Source organism: Homo sapiens, chromosome 2 (genome assembly GCF_000001405.40).
Source record: "Homo sapiens chromosome 2, GRCh38.p14 Primary Assembly".
Lineage (NCBI taxonomy): Eukaryota > Metazoa > Chordata > Mammalia > Primates > Hominidae > Homo > Homo sapiens.
The window spans coordinates 25,251,882-25,271,646 of NC_000002.12; the positions used below are offsets into that span (position 1 = coordinate 25,251,882).

General features: G+C 50.9%; 1 protein-coding gene across 20 annotated transcripts in view, besides 7 other annotated features; it reads right to left on the reverse strand.

Annotated features, from left to right (window-relative positions):
- DNMT3A (DNA methyltransferase 3 alpha) overlaps positions 1-19,765 on the reverse strand; it is a 114,717-nt gene that overhangs the window by 24,008 nt on the left and 70,944 nt on the right. For 3 of the 20 annotated variants that reach the window (XM_011532666.3, NM_153759.3, XM_047443599.1), the window contains exon 1: positions 313-434. The exons of 10 other annotated variants lie outside the window; for them this stretch is intronic. In XM_011532666.3, coding sequence (XP_011530968.1) covers positions 313-316 — 4 coding nt within the window. In that variant the 5' untranslated portion in view covers positions 317-434. Of the gene's footprint in view, positions 1-30; positions 251-312; positions 435-913; positions 1,318-3,999; positions 4,170-7,671; positions 7,734-19,765 lie in introns of those variants that run through there. 7 more of the 20 variants (XM_047443596.1, XM_047443597.1, NM_001320893.1 and 4 more) reach the window with 5 other exon arrangements.
- Positions 178-397: a silencer, noted in NCBI's record as "silent region_11249". NCBI's record gives its function as "represses an Ori minimal core promoter by ATAC-STARR-seq in GM12878 lymphoblastoid cells {active_cell/tissue: GM12878}" and the evidence as "EXISTENCE:reporter gene assay evidence [ECO:0000049][PMID:35858748]".
- Positions 568-717: a silencer, noted in NCBI's record as "silent region_11250". NCBI's record gives its function as "represses an Ori minimal core promoter by ATAC-STARR-seq in GM12878 lymphoblastoid cells {active_cell/tissue: GM12878}" and the evidence as "EXISTENCE:reporter gene assay evidence [ECO:0000049][PMID:35858748]".
- Positions 1,524-2,058: an enhancer, noted in NCBI's record as "H3K27ac-H3K4me1 hESC enhancer chr2:25476274-25476808 (GRCh37/hg19 assembly coordinates)". NCBI's record gives its function as "activates a minimal SCP1, AML or CMV promoter by ChIP-STARR-seq in primed H9 embryonic stem cells {active_cell/tissue: H9 hESC(primed)}" and the evidence as "EXISTENCE:reporter gene assay evidence [ECO:0000049][PMID:30033119]".
- Positions 7,805-8,508: an enhancer, noted in NCBI's record as "OCT4-NANOG-H3K27ac-H3K4me1 hESC enhancer chr2:25482555-25483258 (GRCh37/hg19 assembly coordinates)". NCBI's record gives its function as "activates a minimal SCP1, AML or CMV promoter by ChIP-STARR-seq in primed H9 embryonic stem cells {active_cell/tissue: H9 hESC(primed)}" and the evidence as "EXISTENCE:reporter gene assay evidence [ECO:0000049][PMID:30033119]".
- Positions 12,119-12,702: an enhancer, noted in NCBI's record as "H3K27ac-H3K4me1 hESC enhancer chr2:25486869-25487452 (GRCh37/hg19 assembly coordinates)". NCBI's record gives its function as "activates a minimal SCP1, AML or CMV promoter by ChIP-STARR-seq in naive H9 embryonic stem cells {active_cell/tissue: H9 hESC(naive)}" and the evidence as "EXISTENCE:reporter gene assay evidence [ECO:0000049][PMID:30033119]".
- Positions 12,703-13,287: an enhancer, noted in NCBI's record as "H3K4me1 hESC enhancer chr2:25487453-25488037 (GRCh37/hg19 assembly coordinates)". NCBI's record gives its function as "activates a minimal SCP1, AML or CMV promoter by ChIP-STARR-seq in naive H9 embryonic stem cells {active_cell/tissue: H9 hESC(naive)}" and the evidence as "EXISTENCE:reporter gene assay evidence [ECO:0000049][PMID:30033119]".
- Positions 18,084-18,674: an enhancer, noted in NCBI's record as "H3K27ac-H3K4me1 hESC enhancer chr2:25492834-25493424 (GRCh37/hg19 assembly coordinates)". NCBI's record gives its function as "activates a minimal SCP1, AML or CMV promoter by ChIP-STARR-seq in naive H9 embryonic stem cells {active_cell/tissue: H9 hESC(naive)}" and the evidence as "EXISTENCE:reporter gene assay evidence [ECO:0000049][PMID:30033119]".

Below are 19,765 nucleotides of genomic sequence, written 5' to 3' on the forward strand. Positions count from 1 at the left end.
CCAGCTCCGCGTGCCCCAGCCTGCAGTTACCACTGCCCGGGCTCCCGGCCGGCTGCTCTTCCTGTCCCCCGAGGGCGCCAGGTGCCACTGGAGCCCTCGAGGAGTGGGGCCTTGGGGCTCGTGGGCAGGAAGGCGGCGGGCCAGCACTAAGTCAGCATCTCCAGAACTCGGGCCAGGCCGGGACGCCGCGGCTGCTGCGGGCCGGGGAGGCATACTTCACTCTTTTCAAACCCGGAGGGCTGCGGAGATCCTCCCACCGGCCCTGCCGCCTCCCCGCCCCCGGTCTCCCCGGGGCTCCGTCCAGGAACCTACCCATAAGGCCAGGTGCAGCCCCTCTGCAGTCGCGCTCAGGTGTGAGCCGCGGCCCTGAAGCTCTGGAAGTAGCTGCCCGTCTTGGGGGAGGGGAAGGGGGCGATGGGGCTGGGGGCGGAGGGGGCCACTGGGAGGGGAGGGGGGCGGCGGGGGGGAGGGAGGGAACATTTTCTTTGTCTAGGACTCCAGGTCACGTGGGCCCCGCTGGAGGGCCTGGTTGGCTGCGAGCGGCCCGGGGAGGGGGCCGGCGCTCCGACGCTGGCGCTGGGCCAGCCCCTCTTCTCCGGTCCGAGGGGCGCGGGGCCGGGGGGCGAGGCCGTTCCCCGCCCGTTCCCAGGGCCCGCCCAGGCCGGGCTGCAGGGAGCGCCCCGCCTTCGGGAAGACCGCCTGGCCCCTCCCCCAGCTCTGGAAGAGATTAGCGCGGGGCCGGGGGGCCGGGAGGGGAGGGAAGGGGCTGCTCCCGAGCCGCCTGCCCGGAGGGAGCCGGGGGTCCGGGCGAAAGCAAGCCGGAGCTTTCGGACGGCCTGGGAGAGCCGGGAGAAAGTTGTGAAAAGTGAGTTTCTCTGAAGCACAACCAAAAAAAAAAAAAGAAAAAGCTTACAGATAGGAGGCCCAGGAAGCTGTAGGAAAACTCAGCACACAGACGGAGAGTGACAGCAGGCGCGCGCAGGCATTGGGAGCGCTCCAGATCGGGGATTGTTTGGGGGGTCTCCCGCCTCCACACTACAGGTGAATAGAGAAGCGGGGGGGCCTCAAAAAGCGCGGCGTGAGGAGGTCAGGCTTCGAGTCCCAGGGCCCCTGCGTCACTCTGGGCCTTCCCTGGATTTCTCATTTTCCTGTTTGCAAGGTTGGTCGCGGCGAGGGCGCTCCTTCAGAAAGTTCAGCAATTCCTTCATTCCCAGGCTCAAACATCTGCAGATCGAGAAGACCTGACTCCTCTCCTGGGGCCTCCAGGTGCGGCCTCCAGGTGCAGCCTCCGCCATTTCAAGCTTCCTCCTCCTGAACAAAGGCACCTACCCCCAAGGCAGACGCAGTCCCCACCCACAGCCCTCCATTACGTTGGCTGTAGGATCAGATAAAGAAATAGACCCTGTTGGCTCTGCCCTCGAGGGGTTGAAGATTCCACTAGACTTGGAGAAATATGAAAGGATCACTGTAAAACAAACATATGTAAAGGTAACTATGCCACAAATACCAAGTAGAAAAAAATGGGCGGCATGGATGACAAAAGAGGTCAGAGGTCAGTTCCAGGTGAGCCGACTGGGCCTGGAGGCTGGATCGGACTTGGAATGAGGTGAGATGGGTAGGATGAGCAAGAGCTGCCGGGCTGGGGAGGGAGGAGACCCTCGCCCACCTCCACCCTCCCAGTACACGACAGGGCAAGGTAATGGCAAGCCTTCAGGTGCGTCCTTGGGTATATTCTGTAGCAGGGAAGAATAACCGCAGGTTTTCTGACAAGATGAATGAGTATTTTGGAAAAATCAGCCTAGTTGCCGTTGGCAAGATGAATTAGAAGGAAGAACTGAGGAAATGGAGGAAAATGCACCCCACAGCAGAGGGCTATTTGGGCAGCGGCACTTGTTAGAAGATCTGGACTTGGCCGAGCGCGGTGGCTCACGCCTATAATCCCAGCACTTTGGAAGGCTGAGGCAGGCGGATCATGAGGTCAGGAGTTTGAGACCGGCCTGACTAACATGGTGAAACCTTGTCTCTACTAAAAATACAAAAATTAGCCAGGCGTGGTGGCGTGCGCCAGTAATCCCAGCTACTTGGGAGGCTGAGGCAAGAGAATCGCTTCAACTTAGGAGGCGGATGTTGCAGTGAGCCGAGATCATGCCACTGCACTCCAGCCTGGGCAACAGAGCGAGACTCCGTCTCAAAAAAAAAAAAAAAAAAGATCTGGACTTCAGTTCTGTTTCCACCACCATGACCTTAAACAAGTCACTTAACCCCCAAGAAATCTGTTGTCTCATCTGCAAAACGAGTGATGACATCAGCCCTCTTTGGCCATGGAACGCCACCATCTCCTAATGACAATGAGACAATTCTCTAGGTGCCTGGCTCCCAGCCACAGTCACCTGGGACATACAGGTGCTGGTATAATGAAGTCACGAGATGTGCAGTGAGGGAGCCCCCCCTCCCCCTGAGGGCCATCAGAGCAAGCAAACCCTGAAGAGCAAGGACCCCAAACCAGAGAGCCTTCTACCTAGAAGACTTGGGTACAGACTCCCCCCCAACCCTGAGACCCAGAATCCATACAGCTAGGAAAAGAAGCTATTCGAAAAACAAGCAAACAAACAAAAACACAGGCCCTCTTCTGTTCCAACCCATCTTTCAACCCAACTAAGGTATTTGCCTGGTACACATTTCCAGGGGCTCCCCAAGCAGAAGTGAGAAGCCCAGAATTTGTCCCTCTTGCCTGCTCCCAACCTTTAGGGAATGCAGCATGACTTGCTTCGCTGCTTCTCTCACTGATACCTCTTCTGCATCCATGCCGGTCAACGGGCCTGAGAACTTACTTCAGGCCTCCTCTCAAAAGAAGTTTCTGGTTCTGGCTTGGTGGCCTTTTGCAGACACTGTCTCATGTACGATACCCGCTCTTCCATTATAATGCGGCTAAACACCTTAGACTCCACATTCTGTGGTCTTGGGACATAAGACTGCAATGATGCCGTGCGTGCAGCAAGGACTCAAGGTGTCAGAACTGGCCAGAACTGTTCACTTTCTCTTGGCCACATATTAGGTAGCTGTTCCCTCCGGCCGTCAAACTTCCTTATTCTCATCCTTTAACATTAAAGTCAAATCCTACCTCTTCCACACAACTTCCCAACAAGCAAAAGGAAGCCTAGGCTCAAAGGTGTCCCCTTAACAACCCAGAGCATCTTTCTTCCCTCTCCTGTAACTATGCAGACAGGAAACACTGCCTTTTCTAGACTGAGTCGCTTAAACAGAGATGTGTCTTCTTTGTGGTCAATGCACAGTCAGACCCCAAAGCAGAAGAGACCCCAAGATCTAGAGCAGGGGTGATTTTAGTAAAAGGAAAAATCCCCTTACTAAAATGGGGCAATCTTCAAGGATCCTCAGGTCACACATGCTCTTGAGCTTCCAAAGTAAACCTCCCTGGTAGTTTACCAGATAGGTCTTTTGTTTGAGTTAAAGATAGCCAAACTCAAATAGCAGCACCATGTAAAATAAGCCATGTTCTTGGATTTGTTATAAAAGTATGTTGAAAGGAGGAACTCCTGGATGAGAAGAAAATATGCTGGATGTCAAGAGCCTAAAAGAGGTGCTGGAAAGGAAGTATCCAGTGTGGTCCAATGGAGAGAGTGACCTGAGAATGAGAGCACAGTTCCTGTTTGGTGGGCAGACAACAGTGATCCCATAGGCCTCCTAAGCCCGACAAAAATACCTCTGAAGGACACCTCTCTGCCCTGATCCTGTATTCATCAAGCAAACTTCCAATTTTAATTACATTTTCCAATGACTCTGATACCAGTAAGTTGCCAGAAAACAGCAGGACAAGCATTATGATTTGTGTGGCAAGGACATGTCCTGTTATCAATTGGTAAATCTAACATTCTGGGGTGCATCATTCTCCTGGGTCATTGAAGAGTCATGATCATAAGTATGTTAATGTGACTTTCCAGCCTCAAAGAATTGAGACGAGACACTAGCCCATCATGATACCTCTCCAAAGAGCAGCAACGCCCGGAGCTCATGCCTGACGTTTTACTCAAAGTTCAGTGCTCTGTGGCATGCTCTGTCATAAAATCCAGTTCCGGCAGGATGAGGGTAGATGATGTTGCTGTCATCCCACCAGGACATTTACCATGCGAGTCTCTCTACTCTGAATCAGAGAAGCCATGGTCCCTATAAAGCCATCTGCAAAGCAACACATATGAAGTCACTGCACACGTATTTCCACCCCACACGTATTCCCACCAACCCCAAGACCAGGGAGACCTGATCCAGACAAAAAGAGAGGTCAGGATGGATGTCTGTTCTGAACCCGTCCTCCTCCCACCTACAGCTCAAAAGCCTCAATGCCAATCAGTCAACACTCTGCGTGACATTCTAGGCCCCCACGAATCTGGAGGCCTCCGTGTGATATCATGAAGCCCACGCTTTGCCCGCCCACTTGCTATTCCTCATGCTGTTCCTTCTTCCTGGAAGGTTCCTCCCCTTCAACTTTCACCACCTAAACCCTGCATATCCTTCTACACCAGTCCGCCAGTGACCTCCACCATGAAAGTTCCTCTAGCCTTGCACTGTCCAGGATGGCAGTTACTGGCTGCATGTGTCTATTTGAATTAAATACAAATTAAAATTTAGTTCCTCAGTCACACTGGCTACATTCCAAGTGTCCAAGAGCCACATGTGGCTGGGGGCTACTGAATTCGATGGCACTGATTTTAAAACATTGCCATCATCCCAGAAAGTTCTTTTGACAGTGCTGCCCTGGCCCCTCACCCTTATCCTCCCCTTCTGTCCCTTATCTTTCCCTTCTGTCCCTTATCTTTCCCTTCTGTCCCTTATCTTCTACCCCATCCCTGCCACACTCCCCTTGTACTTTGTAAGCCTCTGTTAGGACCTGCCAGTCTTTGCCTTGTGCGAAGGTGATTGTGTACTCATCTTTCTCCTTTACAAGATTAAATATTCCTAGAGGGCAGGGACTGGACCTCATTCACCTTCGTATGGAAGCAGTGTGGGCTAGAGCATCTTGCCCATAGTAGAGGATTAAAAATGAACTGAATGCAGTGTTGTCTCAGGAACCTTATCCCAAATCCACTGCCCAAGTTCCAAGTTGGGGAATGGATCCATTTCATAGCAGGAATTCTAATCGTTGCTACGAGGTCCCAGTCTACCAAAAGAGGCTGGGAATCTTTGTTTTCCTATTCCCTTGCAATCCATATGGAGGTTGCAAGCAAATGACCAGGACTGGGCTGCTGGCAGTGAAGCTAAAAATAGCCATGAAGCCAACAGCGTGGAGTTAGCAGGACTTGTTGCTAAGGAGACCAGTCGCAGAGAGAGCAACTAAGCAGGGGGAAGGTGTCAGATGTGCACCCGGAGAGCAGAGGGGTCCAAAGGCTCGCACCTAGCGGTGTTCTGCCTTCTGGCAGCTCCTGGCTGATGCTCTAAGTGGGGCAGACATTCCCCCTGTCCCTCAGTAACCCATCTCCATGGAAACCACCAGGACTGGGGTGAAGTACCAGCCCCTGGAAGGGAGGCCTCTGCTTGGAGCTTGTTGTTATGGCAACATCCCCCCTTCCTGTCATTCTCTCTCTCCTGGCTTCTCTGGAGGGAGAGAAGTGGGGGTCTGGTCTTGGCTTAGCCGGCATGACCAGGAAACACCCGCTTCCTGACAAGACTAGGCTGTAAGGGGCTCTCCAGAAGCTCCTGGAAGCCCGGAGAGGCCAGTCAATCCTTAGCACAGGCAGAACTTCCTTTCTTTTCACGAGGGCCTTGCTAATCACCTCGCCAGGAGAACCCCAGATTCACTTTGGTTTAATTGCATCTGGATCACCCAAGGAGGGCTTTAAAAATACAGATTCTTGGGGTCTACCTACGTAGATCAGCGGGCTTAAGGTGGGGCCCAGGAATCTATTAAAACCTCCCTGGGTAATTCTAATACTAGCCAGGTGTGGAAACACGGAGACCCTGGCTGTGTCTGTTACAAATGAGAACACTGAGGCCTAGAGAGGCCCGAGCCCACCTGAAAGGTCAGAGCAATTCACTGGAGAGAAGTGGTCTGGAGAGAGGAGGGGAAGCAGAAGGAGATGGAGGTCAGCTCCCTCGGGGCATGCGTCCCAGGTGAGCCCTCCTCTGGGCCTTTCCCACCTGCTCCCTGATCAAGCACAACCTGTTGCTGTCTGATGCTGGACTGTGATTTCAAACCAAAGCCTCTGACAAGCTGCCCCCTGTGGTAGAATGTGGAAGGTAGGGGGCTAGGAATCTGGTTCTCAGAGTAGCCCAGGCAGATGATTTGGGCTAAAAGAGAAATCCATCCTCCTGAAGAAAAGCAAAAGGGTCACCATGGCAACTGCAGTGTGCTGCCTGGTTGGGCTCTATGCCATCACCCCAAACCTCGGCCCTGCCCCAGAACCTCCTCCCTGAGTCTGGGGAGAGGAGCGGCATTTGGGCAAATGCTGTCGGGCAGGGGCACCCCCCTAACCCCTGCACTGAGCAGTCTGGTTTTAGAACCTGTAAGCGAATTGTGCTTTATCCTGGGAGCCTGCCTGAAGCTCACCTAAACACCGGATCAGGTCAGTCAGTCCTTAGCACCTGCAGTAGGTAGGCTGGGGGGAAGGGAAGCAAAGAGGTGCAAGAGCTAGTAGACATGATGGGGCTCTAGGCCTCTGTTACTCACAGCCTAATTGTGTACCCAAGACCCACCACACATGAAACCACAGCCCTCATTCAAGACAGCATGCAATTAGATGGTAAATTATGTGGTAGGGATGCTTTCTACATGTGCCGAAGGAACTCAGAGGCAGCTGGGATCAGTCAAGGCAGGAAGGCTCAAGGGAAGATGAAAGAGCGGAAACTAGGAATGGGCACAACCTCCCAGGTTTTTCAGACAGGAATGGCCAGATCTAGGGGGCATCTGTAACTGCATGAGCTTCCTGGCAGATGAATGGCAGGAATGAAAAGCACAAGCACAGCCTTAGGGTATCTGTTAGGGAGGGGGAGTGGTAAGGGGCTTTTTGCACTGACACTCTAGATGAATTCTTCTAAATCAAGGAGGAAGATGCAGGATGGGGGAGCCCAACTGCTGGAAAGGAAAGCCCAACTTCCCTCTTGCTGATACCCTCACCTCCCCTTCTCTCCCCACCTCTATCCCAGAGCCCCTGGCTCCCTCGTTCTCTCCCAGCCAACCCTACACTTCCCTAATGGTGTATGCTGGGAAGTCCCAGCCCAATAGATGCGCCATCAGGCTCTGGAGCTTTGGTGGCTGCCTTCCCTTTCCCTATAGCCTGCCCCATAAGGGGAAGGCTTCTCCACAAACCCAGCTCTTCCTTCCTGCTCACTTCCACCCGCTATCCTGGAACTGCTGGGTCTGCCCAGCTCTACCAGTGACGGAGTCTGGGGCCAGGGAGCAGAGATGCCAGGGCAGGGGTGGGAGAGTAGCAGTACCCCACTGATACCGGATCTCAGGTGCCCCTTACCAGGAAATTCAACTGGGAGGGGATGCCAGGTCTTTCACTGAGCAGGGCGCTGAGCAGGGTGTTTTACAGCTGATGACAAGACCTTAAATAACCCCTAGCTTCTTTGGGCCTTGGTTTCCTAACTAGCCTAATAGAATCACACGTATCTGCTAAATATTACAGATAAAATCAAAGGAAGCCAGGAGGGACTCACATTTGAGAGGTGAGGGACTTCATGACAAGTTTGCTTTAGGGACGTGTCGATGCTGTCACTTTGCTTTAGAAACTGGACCCTGGAGAGAAGTGTTAAGTTTATACTAAGGGGGGTGTGGCCAAAAGGAACCTGGTAAACCTTAACAGCCAGGCCTGTTTTCCCCACCCTTCCCCCACCCCTTCTCCAGGCTCCAGGGGTCAAAGGGAGGGGCCTAAAGGAGCCGCATTCAGATTCAGGCATGCAGACCCTCTCAAGTTTCAGGGTCCAAAGAGAAGACTCCAGAGGAGCCCAGCAGACAGGCACTGCGGTAACTATTGCTGAAAACAGCAGGACCCCTGCCATCTCCATCCGAAAGGAAACATTTAAATTCCTGTACCAAGTCCTTTCCGGTCTTTCCCCCCCAACCCTGTTTGGAAACTGTTCCCTAGGTCTGCCCGCCTTACAGTCCCTACTTCTTCCTTTGCTTGTTACCACAATCAGACTGGCAACCCAAGCCCTATCAATTACCCGGAGAGCTTGGGAAACCACCCTTGCTGGGTACATCACTAAATTCCCAACGTGATTAACCTGGCCCAGGTTTAAACAAAATGTGTAGAGAGACCCCCGCCGCCAATGCAGGCGATACAATAAATGCATCTACCAATACATCTGTGTGGGAATCTCATCTGTGCCAGATTTGGTTTACCTCTAATCATCTGAGGCTTGGTGGTTTTCAAGCTGTAGTAAGCCCCAGAATCATCTGGGGGCTGGCTAGAAAATCAAACCTACAAGTACTGTCCCAGAGCTTCTGCTCCAGGAGTGTGCCTTTTTAATGCACTGCCCAGGTGGTTCTGGTGAGGTAACACACAATCTCACCCTTTGAGAAACATTGAAGTCTAAGAGCATCTTTGGTATATATAAGCAAGCTCACTCAATTTTTGTTTTTTTTTGCCCCACAAAGCTGCCTTTCCAACAGCATCTAGCGTCAAATATACAGGAGGCTGAGCTGTTATTCCTGTTTTTGTTCAATCCATCTGAGTTGCAAGTGAAAATAATATTTATACTGCCCACCATTCATGGACTAAAGAGGAACGGGGAAGAGCTGTCGCATCTGTAGAGTTGCTACTGAAGAATGGCAAGTCAGAAAAATGGTAACATTCACACGCACACTTGCACACACACACACTCACCATGCAGTTGGCCTGGGAGCACACACACACACTCACCATGCAGTTGGCCTGGGAGGGAGTGCGGACTGAGAGGTGAAGGATGCGGGGTGGTCGCAGGGAGTTGATGGAAGTCAGAAAGGGCTCCACAGAGGGCATGGTGGCACGTGCCTGTAATTCCAGCTACTTGGGAAGCTGAGGTGGGAGGATCACTTGAGCCCAAGAGTCCAAGGCTGCAGTGAGCTACGATCAGAGCATGCCACTGCACTCCAGCCTGGGCGACAGAGCAAGACTCTGTCTCAAAAATTAACGTAGGCCCGGCATGATGGCTCACGCCTGTAATTCCAGCACTTTGGGAGGCCGAGGTGGGCAGATCACTTGAGGTCAGGAGTTCGAGACCAGCCTGGCCAACATGGTGAAAACCCATCTCTACTAAAAATACAAAAATTAGCCAGAGGTGGCCAAGTGTGGTGGCTCATGCCTGTAATCCCAGCACTTTGGGAGGCTGAGGTGGGTGGATCATCTGAGCTCAGGAGTTTGAGACTAGCCTGGCCAACATGGTGAAACCCCGTCTCCACTAAAATTACAAAAATTAGCCAGGCATGGTGGCGTGTGCCTATAGTCCCAGCTACTCAGGAGGCTGAGGCAGGAGAATCACTTGAACCCGGGAGGCAGAGGTTGCAGTGAGCCAAGACCATGCCACTGCACTCCAGCCTGGGTGACAGAGTGAGACTCTGTCTCAAAAAAAAAAAAAAAAAAAAAAGCCAGAGGTGGGGGCGGACACCTATAATCCCAGCTACTTGGGAGGCTGAGGTGGGAGGATTGCTTGAACCCAGGAGGCGGAGGTTGAAGTGAGCCGAGATCACACCTCTGCACTCCAGCCTGGGTGACAGAGTGAGACTCCGTCTCAAAAAAAAAAAAAAACCATAAATAAATAAAATAAATAGAAATGTATATATTGTAAAAGTAAAGGGCTGCATAGATAGGTGAAAGGGGGGTTCAGTAGTCCTCTAACTGGTTCAGGAAATCCTCCTGGACGTTGACCCCCGGCCACCTGCTCCCAGAAGTCCCATGTCCTTGTCCCTGCCCCTCCCTATCCTGGTCCTCTCCTAGCAGGTCTGCTTTCTGTGCTTTCTCTCCCTGCCCTCCTGCCTGTGCGTCCCCTCCATGAGGACCACCCTGGAATCTGACTAAACCTGTCCCCTGGGGTCGGGCGCAGTGGCTCACACCTGTAATCCCAGCACTTTGGGAGGCCAAGGTGGGCAGATCATGAGATCAGGAGATCAAGACCATCCTGGCCAACATGGTGAAACCCCACCCCGTCTCTACTAAAAATACAAAAATTAGCTGGGCATGGCAGCACATGCCTGTAACCCCACCTACTCGGGAGGCTGAGGCAGGAGAATCACTTGAACCAGGGAGTCAAGGGTTGCAGTGAGCTGAGATTGTGCCACTGCACTCCAGCCTGGCGAGAGAGCAAGACTCCGTCTCAAAAAAAAAAAAAAAAAAAACCTGTCCCCATTGACACCAATCTGCTGGCTTCTCAAAAGCAGCTTATCCAAACCCTAGCTCAAAAATCCACCCCCTCCTAAGAGAAAATATCTTAAAGACCTTGCGGTAGACAGAGAATTCTTAGAGATAACACACACAAACACTAACCAATAAAGGAAAAAAATGGGTAAGTTGGACTTTATTAAAAACTTCTGCTCATCAGAATACATAAGAAAATGAAAAGTTCACTGTATCATCCTGCCTCAAACCTGCTCTTCCTCCAAGATTCTCTACCTCAGATAATGAACCCTATCCCCAGCCCAGCTCCCAATACCAGACAAATTTTTCCCTCCCCTCCAACCAGGACCAGTTCTAGCAATTCCTTCAAGTTTGCCTCTCATTACCTCAACCCTCAGTCAAGGCCAAATGTAATGTTCTCCTACCTGGTCCTGCTTCTAAACTTCCTCTCTCTGGGGAATACTTATTGTCCTGCCAGGTTATCTTCCTAAACTATGTGTCCAATTCTCTTCCACCCCTGCTCTCCACTGGACAACGAAGCCTAAATTTCTCACTATGGCAGGAAGACCACTGAGGATGTGACCATCTTGCTTTCTAGTTCTGTCTCTTCTTGCCCATCCTCCCTAACCCCTGCACCCTAGTTACCAGATCTCTTACTACTCCCTAAACAACCCAGAAGTCATGCCTCCTTCTCTTTGCCCTCAGTAGTTCCTTTTCCTGAAATGCCTTCCTCCTCTTTAACACTTTTTTATTTGTTTGTTTATAATTTATTGAGATAGTATCTCACTCTGTCACCCAGGCTGGAGTCCAGTGGCATGATCATGGCTCACTGCAGCCTCGACCTCAGCCTCCTGAGTAGCTGGGACCATTGGTGCACAACACCATGCCCAGCTAATTAAATATTTTTTTTGTAGAGAGTGGGTCTGGCCATGTTGCCCAGGCTGCTCTTGAACTCCTGGGCTCAAGCAATCCTCCCACTTTGGTCTCCCAAAGTGCTGGGATTACACTGCACCCAGCCTCTTTTGCACTTACTGAAATTCTCAAAGGATGCCTGCCTCCTCCAGGAAGCTTTCCTGGAGTCCTCCAGAAGCTGCTCTCATGCTCCTTTATGCTTCATGTTGGGCTCTTTACACAGGAGCACAGAGCAAGCCCCACGCTCTGACTGCCACTGAGGCTTGTTGGAAACATTCCTGCCTCCTCCACTTGACAATGTGTGCCTCTGGGACAGGGACTATATCCAATTGGTCTCCCCCTACCCCGCCACTAGCATAGTATCATGTTTATTTACCAAGTACTGAATTACTAAGCAATCAGTAGTAAGTACTGAGGTCCATTAACTCCTTTAACGAGTGTACTGGCCTCTTAATAAAGCGGCAGAGGGCTCTGGCAGACCACCCCATATGTGAACATCCCACGGCCTCCCTGACAAGCAGTCTGGTTTTTAAAGCAGAGAGAACATTGGCTATTATATTTTCTGCTTTGTCAGCCCCATAGACAGTGCTATGGGAAAAACTTTGAGGCACTCTAGACTCCAAACTCCTAGAGGATTTCTTTGACCACCTCCCTTAGGACCCCACTCCATGCCCTTCCCCCACTGTCCCTGCCAAGCAGTCCTGTTCAGGTCAATGGCGGTACACTGCCTCTCCCTAGGCACCGCCTTCCCTGAGGCCCTTAGGCAGGGCTAGGGAGTTGCTTGCACAGTCCTTCCCTTAGTATTTCTAAAACAACCCTGCCCTGGCTACAGCACAATTCATTCATTTACCTACCAACCTCTCACAGGGGAGGGTAGAATTCTGACTTGCCTTTAAATTTGCTTCCTTAGTGTCTAGAAAATGTTGGAACATAGTAGACACCCAGACACACAAGGTGGTATCTTAAAGACTGAGCACACAGTATCTGCTCAGTAAAGGCTGGACAACCCTTTGGTTTTTTTTTTTTTTTTTTTTTTTTTGAGACAAGGTCTCGCTCTGTCGCCCAGGCTGGAGTGCAGTGGCGCAATCTTGACTCACTGCAACCTCCACCACCCTGGCTCAAACGATTCTTGTGCCTCAGCCTTCCAAGTAGCTGGGATTACAGGCATGTGCCACCACGCCCAGCTAATTTTTGTATTTTCAGTAGAGACGGCGTTTCACCATGTTAGCCAGACTGGTCTCGAATTCCTGGCCTCAAGAGATCCACCCGCCTTGGCCTCCCACAGTGTTGGGATTACAGGCGTGAGCCACTGTGCTGGGCCAAAGGTTTTTTTTTTAAAAAGAGTTTTTTGTTTTGTTTTTTTTTGTGAGACAGAGTCTGGCTCTGTCGCCCAGGCTGGAGTGCAGTGGTGCGATCTCGGCTCACTGCAAGCTCCGCCTCCCGGGTTCACGCCATTCTCCTGCCTCAGCCTCCCGAGTAGCTGGGAGGTGCCTGCCACCACGCCCGGCTAATTTTTTGTATTTTTAGTAGAGAGGGGGTTTCACCATGTTAGCCAGGATGGTCTCGATCTGCTGACCTCATGATACGCCTGCCTTCGCCTCCCAAAGTGCTGGGATTACAGGCGTGAGCCACCACCCCCGGCCAAAAAGAGTTTTTATAAGGATGCTTCACGTATGTGCCTTTAGAAGAGACGTATATGCGAGGTCTGAGAATTCACTCAAATATTTAATTTAGAATTTATGTACAAGGTAATCTAGGTAATAAAGAGAGTGCAGATCATGATTCCAGTCTCACCCCCCAACCTGCCGTGATGGAATTTTAGAATCTCTGGGGTCATCTCATCTATTTCTGTCGCATTATAAACCAGGAAACTAAAATGCCGAAAGCAGAAAGACCTCCTCACATCCATAGCTAAGGAGGGGCAGAAGCTGAGACGAGAAACCAGGCCTCCCAAATCTCATTCCAACATTTTCTTAATCCAGTTTCACAACATCATCCACATGGTCATGAAAAAACAGCAATTCAAGGGCAAGGGTTCAGGACCACATGAGTAGAGCAGGGAGGGGTGGTCGGGGAGGCTGAAAGGGACCTGAGCCTCCTGGCAAAGAGGCATGGGGAGCAGCCCCAACAACTGCAGGCCGGGGGCGGGAAGAGCATGCGGCAGGCTGGAAAGCCGGGCCAGCTCTCTCCCTCTCTTCTAAATGCATTCTTCAATTTCATGACAATTTCCAAGCCAGGAAACCAGGAAAACTGGGAGTGTAGGTTAGTCATTTGGGTACACAACAGAAGCAACACGAGATTTGGAGTCTAGTTTTGCCCATTGGGCCACTCCATCAGGATACCCATGTGGCCGCAACCTACTTACCTAGATAAATCTTAATTTTCTAATAGCAAAATACAGGTTAAAAAAATACTTCTGGCCGGGCGCGGTGGCTCATGCCTGTAATCCCAGCACTTTGGAGGCTGAGGCAGGTGGATCACCTGAGGTCAGGAGTTCAAGACCAGCCTGGCCAACATGGTGAAACCCCATCTCTCCTAAAAATACAAAAAATTAGCCGGGTGTGGTGGCAGGTGCCTGTAATCCTAGCTACTTGGGAGGCTGGGGCAGGAGAATCGCTTGAACCCAAGAGGCAGAGGTTGCAGTGAGCTGAGATCATGCCACTGCACTTCAGACTGGGTGACAGAGTAAGACTCCATCTCAAAAAAAAAAAAAAGACATTAAATGCAGATAATATGTTTTAGGATTGTGGTGAAAGCTAATGCTCCTGGCATAGTGCCTGATGTAAAGTAGGTGCTCAGTGAAGTTCAACACCCTTTCCCTGGTTCAGGCTTTGCTGTGGCCAGGAGTTGGCCCTGGGCCAGCAACTAGTCACCTACCCCACCCTGCCTCTTTTTTTCTCACCACTAAAAAGTAGGGGTTGTTCTAAGAGCTGTTCTCTCTGTGCCCCAGAAGTGAAGACTCTGGTGCGCAACCAACCCATCTACTTAAAGGACAATGGGGAGTCCCTCTGTGGCAACTTTAGTAGCCTATGGTAAAGGCCAGCCCTCGAAGTCACTACTGCTTACAGGCTGTCATGGGAGCCTCTAGAACTTGTTCAGCCTTGGGTAAAGTATACTTGCTGTGCCTACTCCAAACATCATCATCTCCTTCAAGGGTGATGTTATTTTTGAGGCCACGCTGCAAAAGGTCAGGTAGGGCAAATAAGTGAGGAATGTCTTCCAGTCCAAATGCTCTAAAACTGCTTCCCATACAGTTGGCTAATAATTTGTTTTGAGCCTTTACTGGTCTACTTTGCACTTCCATTTCTCCTGAACTAGACTAAAGCCCAGGAGATCACACCTTATTATCTCCTCCTTCCCATAGCCCCTAGCACAAGGCCCCTTTACTTAGTAGGTGCTGAGTGACTGCTTATTAAATGGAATATGACACAGCATGGGGGACCTTCTGGACATTCATGGCCTGCTCTCCTCAGGGCAGACAGGAAGCACAGTCTGTTGAGACTGCAGGGTTGTAAAGTCAGAGGAGGCAACATTTGCTAAGCTCATAGAAGCAGCAGCACAAATGGCCAATAAACATAGGAAAAGATGTTCAACCTTATTATCTGGGAAATGCCAATTAAAAGCATAACAAGATACTATTTTCCCACCCATTTGACTAGCAAAATATTGATGTTGGCAAAGGTCTTCTCATACCCTGTTCACAGAAGCATAAATTGGAGTGCCCTTTTTAGAGGGCAGTTTGGCAGATGTCATAAAATGTAAAATGCACATTCCCTTCAGCTAGGCCTTTTTCTTTCTAGGTATCTGTCTTAGAGAAACAGATGCACAAAGAGGTATGACTAAGGATGTTCACCGCTGCAATGCTAAACAGTAAAATATCATAAACAACATAAATGGCCACCAATAACAGAATGGCTAAATAAAACCATGGGAATCCACATGGTGGAATATAATAGTAATTACGTGGCTAGATTGCACAGACTTATTGGAAGTCAAAAACCAAGCTGTAAAATGAAACTACAGTGTGGTTCCATTTGTGTAAAAAGAACAGGAAAAAAAGAACCCCTGAAGCAAAATTATATATTTACACGCATACACACGGATAGGAAAAAATCATGACGTTACACCAAACTGATAGCATCAAGTATTTCTGGTGAAGGAATTAAATTTTCAGGCCAGGTGTGGTGGCTCATGCCTGTAATCCCAGTACTTTGGGAGGTGGAGGCAAAAGGACTGCTTGAGCCCAGGAGTTCAAAGCCAGCCTGGTCAACATAAGGAGACCCCCATCTCTACAAAAAATTTAAAAATTAGCCAAGTGTGGTGGCACATGCCTGTGGTCCCAGCTACTCAGGAGGCTTAGGTGGGAGGATCACCTGAGCCAAGAAGTTGAGGCTGCAGTGAGCCATGATCATGCCATTGTACTCCAGCCTGGCCAATGGAGCAGGACCCTGTCTCAAAATAAAATTTTGGGGTGGCAAGTTTGGGCGGACTTTTTCACAAGAATGTATTTGTGTAATACTTATGTAATTTAAAATACTTTCTAAAAAATTATAAAGTTCCTATTATATGCTAGCTCTGTGCTAGGAGCTTTAAATGTTGTGTGTTGTCCACACAACTCTGAGATAAGAATTGTTCATTCATTCAGCACACTTTCACCCTGCACCTCCCACATGCCAGCCCTGGGGGCAGGGGGTGCCCAGAATGCCTGTATTGAACGAGCTTAAATGCAGAAATGGGTAGAGGCAGAAAACAAGCTGGCGAGTGCTGCTGTCATGGAGATGCAGAGTACAGCCAAGTCCATCCACAGAGGAGGAACCTCAGCTGGGGTACAGGGTAAGTGATGCCTAAGGTCCCACACCCAGTAAGTGGGACCTTTCTTAAGGCAGTATTTGAACTTGCCTCCAAAGGTCGCAGTAAACAGCAGCCAACCCTTAAGGTCCATGAAGGCTCTGCTATCTGCTGGGCAGCCCTGGGCGGAGGGAGTGGGTTGTATCTCAGTGTGGCGAGGGAAGGGAGGAGAGACTATGATGTTCCAGTCACAGATGTTTCATTATCACTATTCAATATTATTAAGCATCTAATAAGTATAAGGATGCATGAGTCAAGGGTCCCTACCTTCAGGTCGGAAGCAGGAAAGAGACCAGATCCTAGAACAATAGGACATGGTACCCGCTGCCTAGACGGAATTTAGAATCCGGCTGGGGTGAAGAGATTAATGAGCGAGTCATGCCATCAATGTGCTGTAACTGAGTCCTAAAACCACCAGCCGCGACACAAACTGGAGTGAGTGGCTTCCCAGGCGAGATGACCGCCCAGCTACTGACCCTGGGTCTCTGTGCTCATCTGCCTTGCAGAGCTACAGGGAGGGCTAATGAAGCGAGAGGCCCTTCCTAACCCTCAAGCCCTCCATCAGAGTGCATTTTGCTCTGAGAATTAGAAGGAAGAGGAGCTAAGGGAGTGCCTTCCTTTGGGAGGAGGAACTGCCCTACCCTGCCCTCCCCACAGCCCTGGCCAGCTCTGCCAGGCCAAGGAAGGTTCTCCTCAGCTCAGAAGCCTGGTGAGAATGGCAGGAATACAGGATGGAGGAGACTCTGGCCCCCCTTTACCCATGGAGGCTGTCCATACCAGTCCCCATGCCATCCTCCAGGTACACCTGTCAGCACCCCTGGAAAAACCACCTCGAAATCAAGTGTGTGGGCCCTTGTCATGGTGGAAATCTAAGATCTCATGTTCCCAGAGAAGTGGTCCCACATTCACCTACCTCCCAACTGCTTAGCCAGCCAGCAGGTATTCACTGGGCCTGTTCTCCCTGCCCATTGCATTAGGCCAGACAGAGGAAGATGTGATCAACACATAAGAAACAGTGAAAAATACCCTGATGAAATATGATTGAGTGCTAAGTAATATTAACCGTAAGGACAGTCTGAGTGCAGTGGCTCATGCCTGTAATTCCAGTACTTTGGGAGGCCAAAGCAGGCGGATCACTTGGGGTCAGGAGTTCGAGACCAGCCAGGTCAACATAGCAAAACCCCATCTCTACTTAAAATATAAAAATTAGCTGGGTGTGGTGGTGCGTGCCTGTAATTCCAGCTACTGGGAAGGCTGAGGCGAGGCACGAGAATCACTTGAACCTGGGAGGTGGAGGTTGCAGTGAGCCAAGAGACTGCACCACTGCACCCCAGCCTGGGAGACAGAGTGAAACTGTCTCAGACAAACAAACAAACCCCAGTGAGGGTTACAGGGATTCAGGGAAGGGAAGAGGTCATTGTGGACTGGAGAAATCTTGGAAACCTTCCTGGAGGAGGCAGCAGCTCTTGGCCTCAACCCTGAAGAATGGACTGGGGAAATCACAGCAGGAACGATGACAGGAAGGAAGGAAGGAGCATGGCAATGTCCCTTCCTAGGGGACACCCTTCTATTAGAGGACTGTAGTGAAAGTGGGGTGGGCTGATTGTGGAGGTCGAAGGGTTGAAGACTTGAGAAATAGCCAGAGGGTATCTGACATGATGGGGGAGACAATGGGGAGCCATTGGAGGTTCTATGGCAGGGTGTGATCATGATTAAAACAGAGCTTAGTCCTTACAGGACTAGTAAGCAGGTGAAGGAACAGCAACAGGAGATGGAACAGACAGAAGACAACAACTTCCTTCCCAGCTCCAGCAGGAATTCTCACTTCAGCCTCAGGGACTGCAGAAATGTCTCATTTTCCCCGTTCACTTATTTTCCATTTCTTTCATTTTGTGACATTCTGAGTCGTCTTAAATCTTGGGGGAGGGAAAGCCTGAAGGGGGTAATCTGGGAGAGGCTCACTCAGTAACTGTGGTCCAACAAGGGTGGGCAAGGAGAAGGAAGTTAAGCTGGGGAGTGCGTTCCCAGGGAAGAAGCCCCCCAGGTGGGGCACACAGCCTAGGGGAAGGGCTGGTGCAGCCTGGGGTCTGGTGGCAGCTCCTCCTTCTGGCCCCTGCCCCACCTTCCAGCCACATTTCCTAGCTGCTTTCTGCCCACACCCGCTGTGCACCACCACAACAAACTCCCATTCCTGAAAAGCCCAAGTGTCTTGTGCCTCGAGAGGTATGTGCCTGCTGTATTCCTCCCTCTGAAATGCCTTCCTCAGCCCTCCCCTAAATTCCAGTTCAACCGTCAAAAGCCAGAAGCCACCCCTGCTGATGCGTAGATGACCCCAGGCAGCATTCGTCTACGCCCCATTCAGGGCAGCTCTTTCTGCAGGTGCTATGAGCCCTCATCCTATCATGGGAAAACTAGGAATCCTCTATGCCTCTGGTAGTCCCAGTATCTTACATGTCACTCAGCTGTGGAGGCTTCTGGAAACCGGCTCAGTAAAGGTGCCCTGAATGAAAGGTTGCAGGCGTTGCATTCTGAGATTAGGAAGCGCTGGCTGGCCCTTCAAGTGATATTGCCTGGGGAACAGCTGGAGCTGGGTCCTGAAGGCTGGGTGGTTTGTCAGGAGGGGAGGTGCCTTTTTTGGGAGGAGGAGGGTACTTGGATCTAGGAGGGTGGGTAAGGGGTCAGTGGATCAACACTGGCAGAGGGTGGGGGGTGGAGATCTGGGGATGCAGCTAACAGAGGTTGCCGCTTGAGATCAGCTGAAGGAGGTGGGGAGGAACCTGCAGCGGCCTTGGGAAGGCCCAGGGAGGCAGTTTCAGAAGGGCTCAAATGTCAGAGAGCAAAATGAGACTGAGAAAAGAGGAGAAATGTCTGTGCTGTTGTTACACCACTTAGAAAACATTACAAAAAATTAGCCGGGTGTGGTGGTGCACGCCTGTAATCCCAGCTACTCGGGAGGCTGAGGCAGGAGAATCGCTTGAACCTGGGAGATGGAGGTTGCAGTGAGCTGAGATTGTGCCATTGCACTCCAGCTTGGGCAACAAGTGCGAAACTCCGTCTCAAAAAAACAAAAACCAAAAAACAAAAACAGGCCTGATAGGCCGGGTGCAGTGATTCATGCCTGTAATCCCAGCACTTCGGGAGGCCAAGGCGGGCAGATCACCTGAGGTCAAGAGTTCAAGACCAGCCTGACCAACATGGTGAAACCCCCATCTCTACTAAAAATACAAAAAGTTAGCCGGGTGTGTCAGCAGGTGCCTGTGATCCCAGCCACTCGGGAGGCTGAGGCAGGAGAATCGCCTCAACCCAGGAGGCGGAGGCTGCAGTGAGCCATTGCACTCCAGCCTTTGCACTCCAGCCTTGACAACAAGAGTGAAACTCCGTCTCAAAAACAGACAAACAAAGAAAACAGGCCTGATAGCAACAGCTACTACTCTTGAGTCTGAGGGCGACTTGGGAATCTTGAAAGCTACCTGTGTTTTCCCCATTCTTGATACCTGCATCTAGCCCCTTCCTAACCCCAGGCATAGCCCAGGAGGAGACTGTGTGACAGTCAGGGCCTGGGCCCCACATTGGAATAGGAAACGTAAATTCTAATTCCATTCTAGTCCTGTTCCCAATTCTTCATTGGGAGCTTGTGGCCAGTTATAAAACTCGGTAGCCCCAAGTCCCCTAGTCTGAAA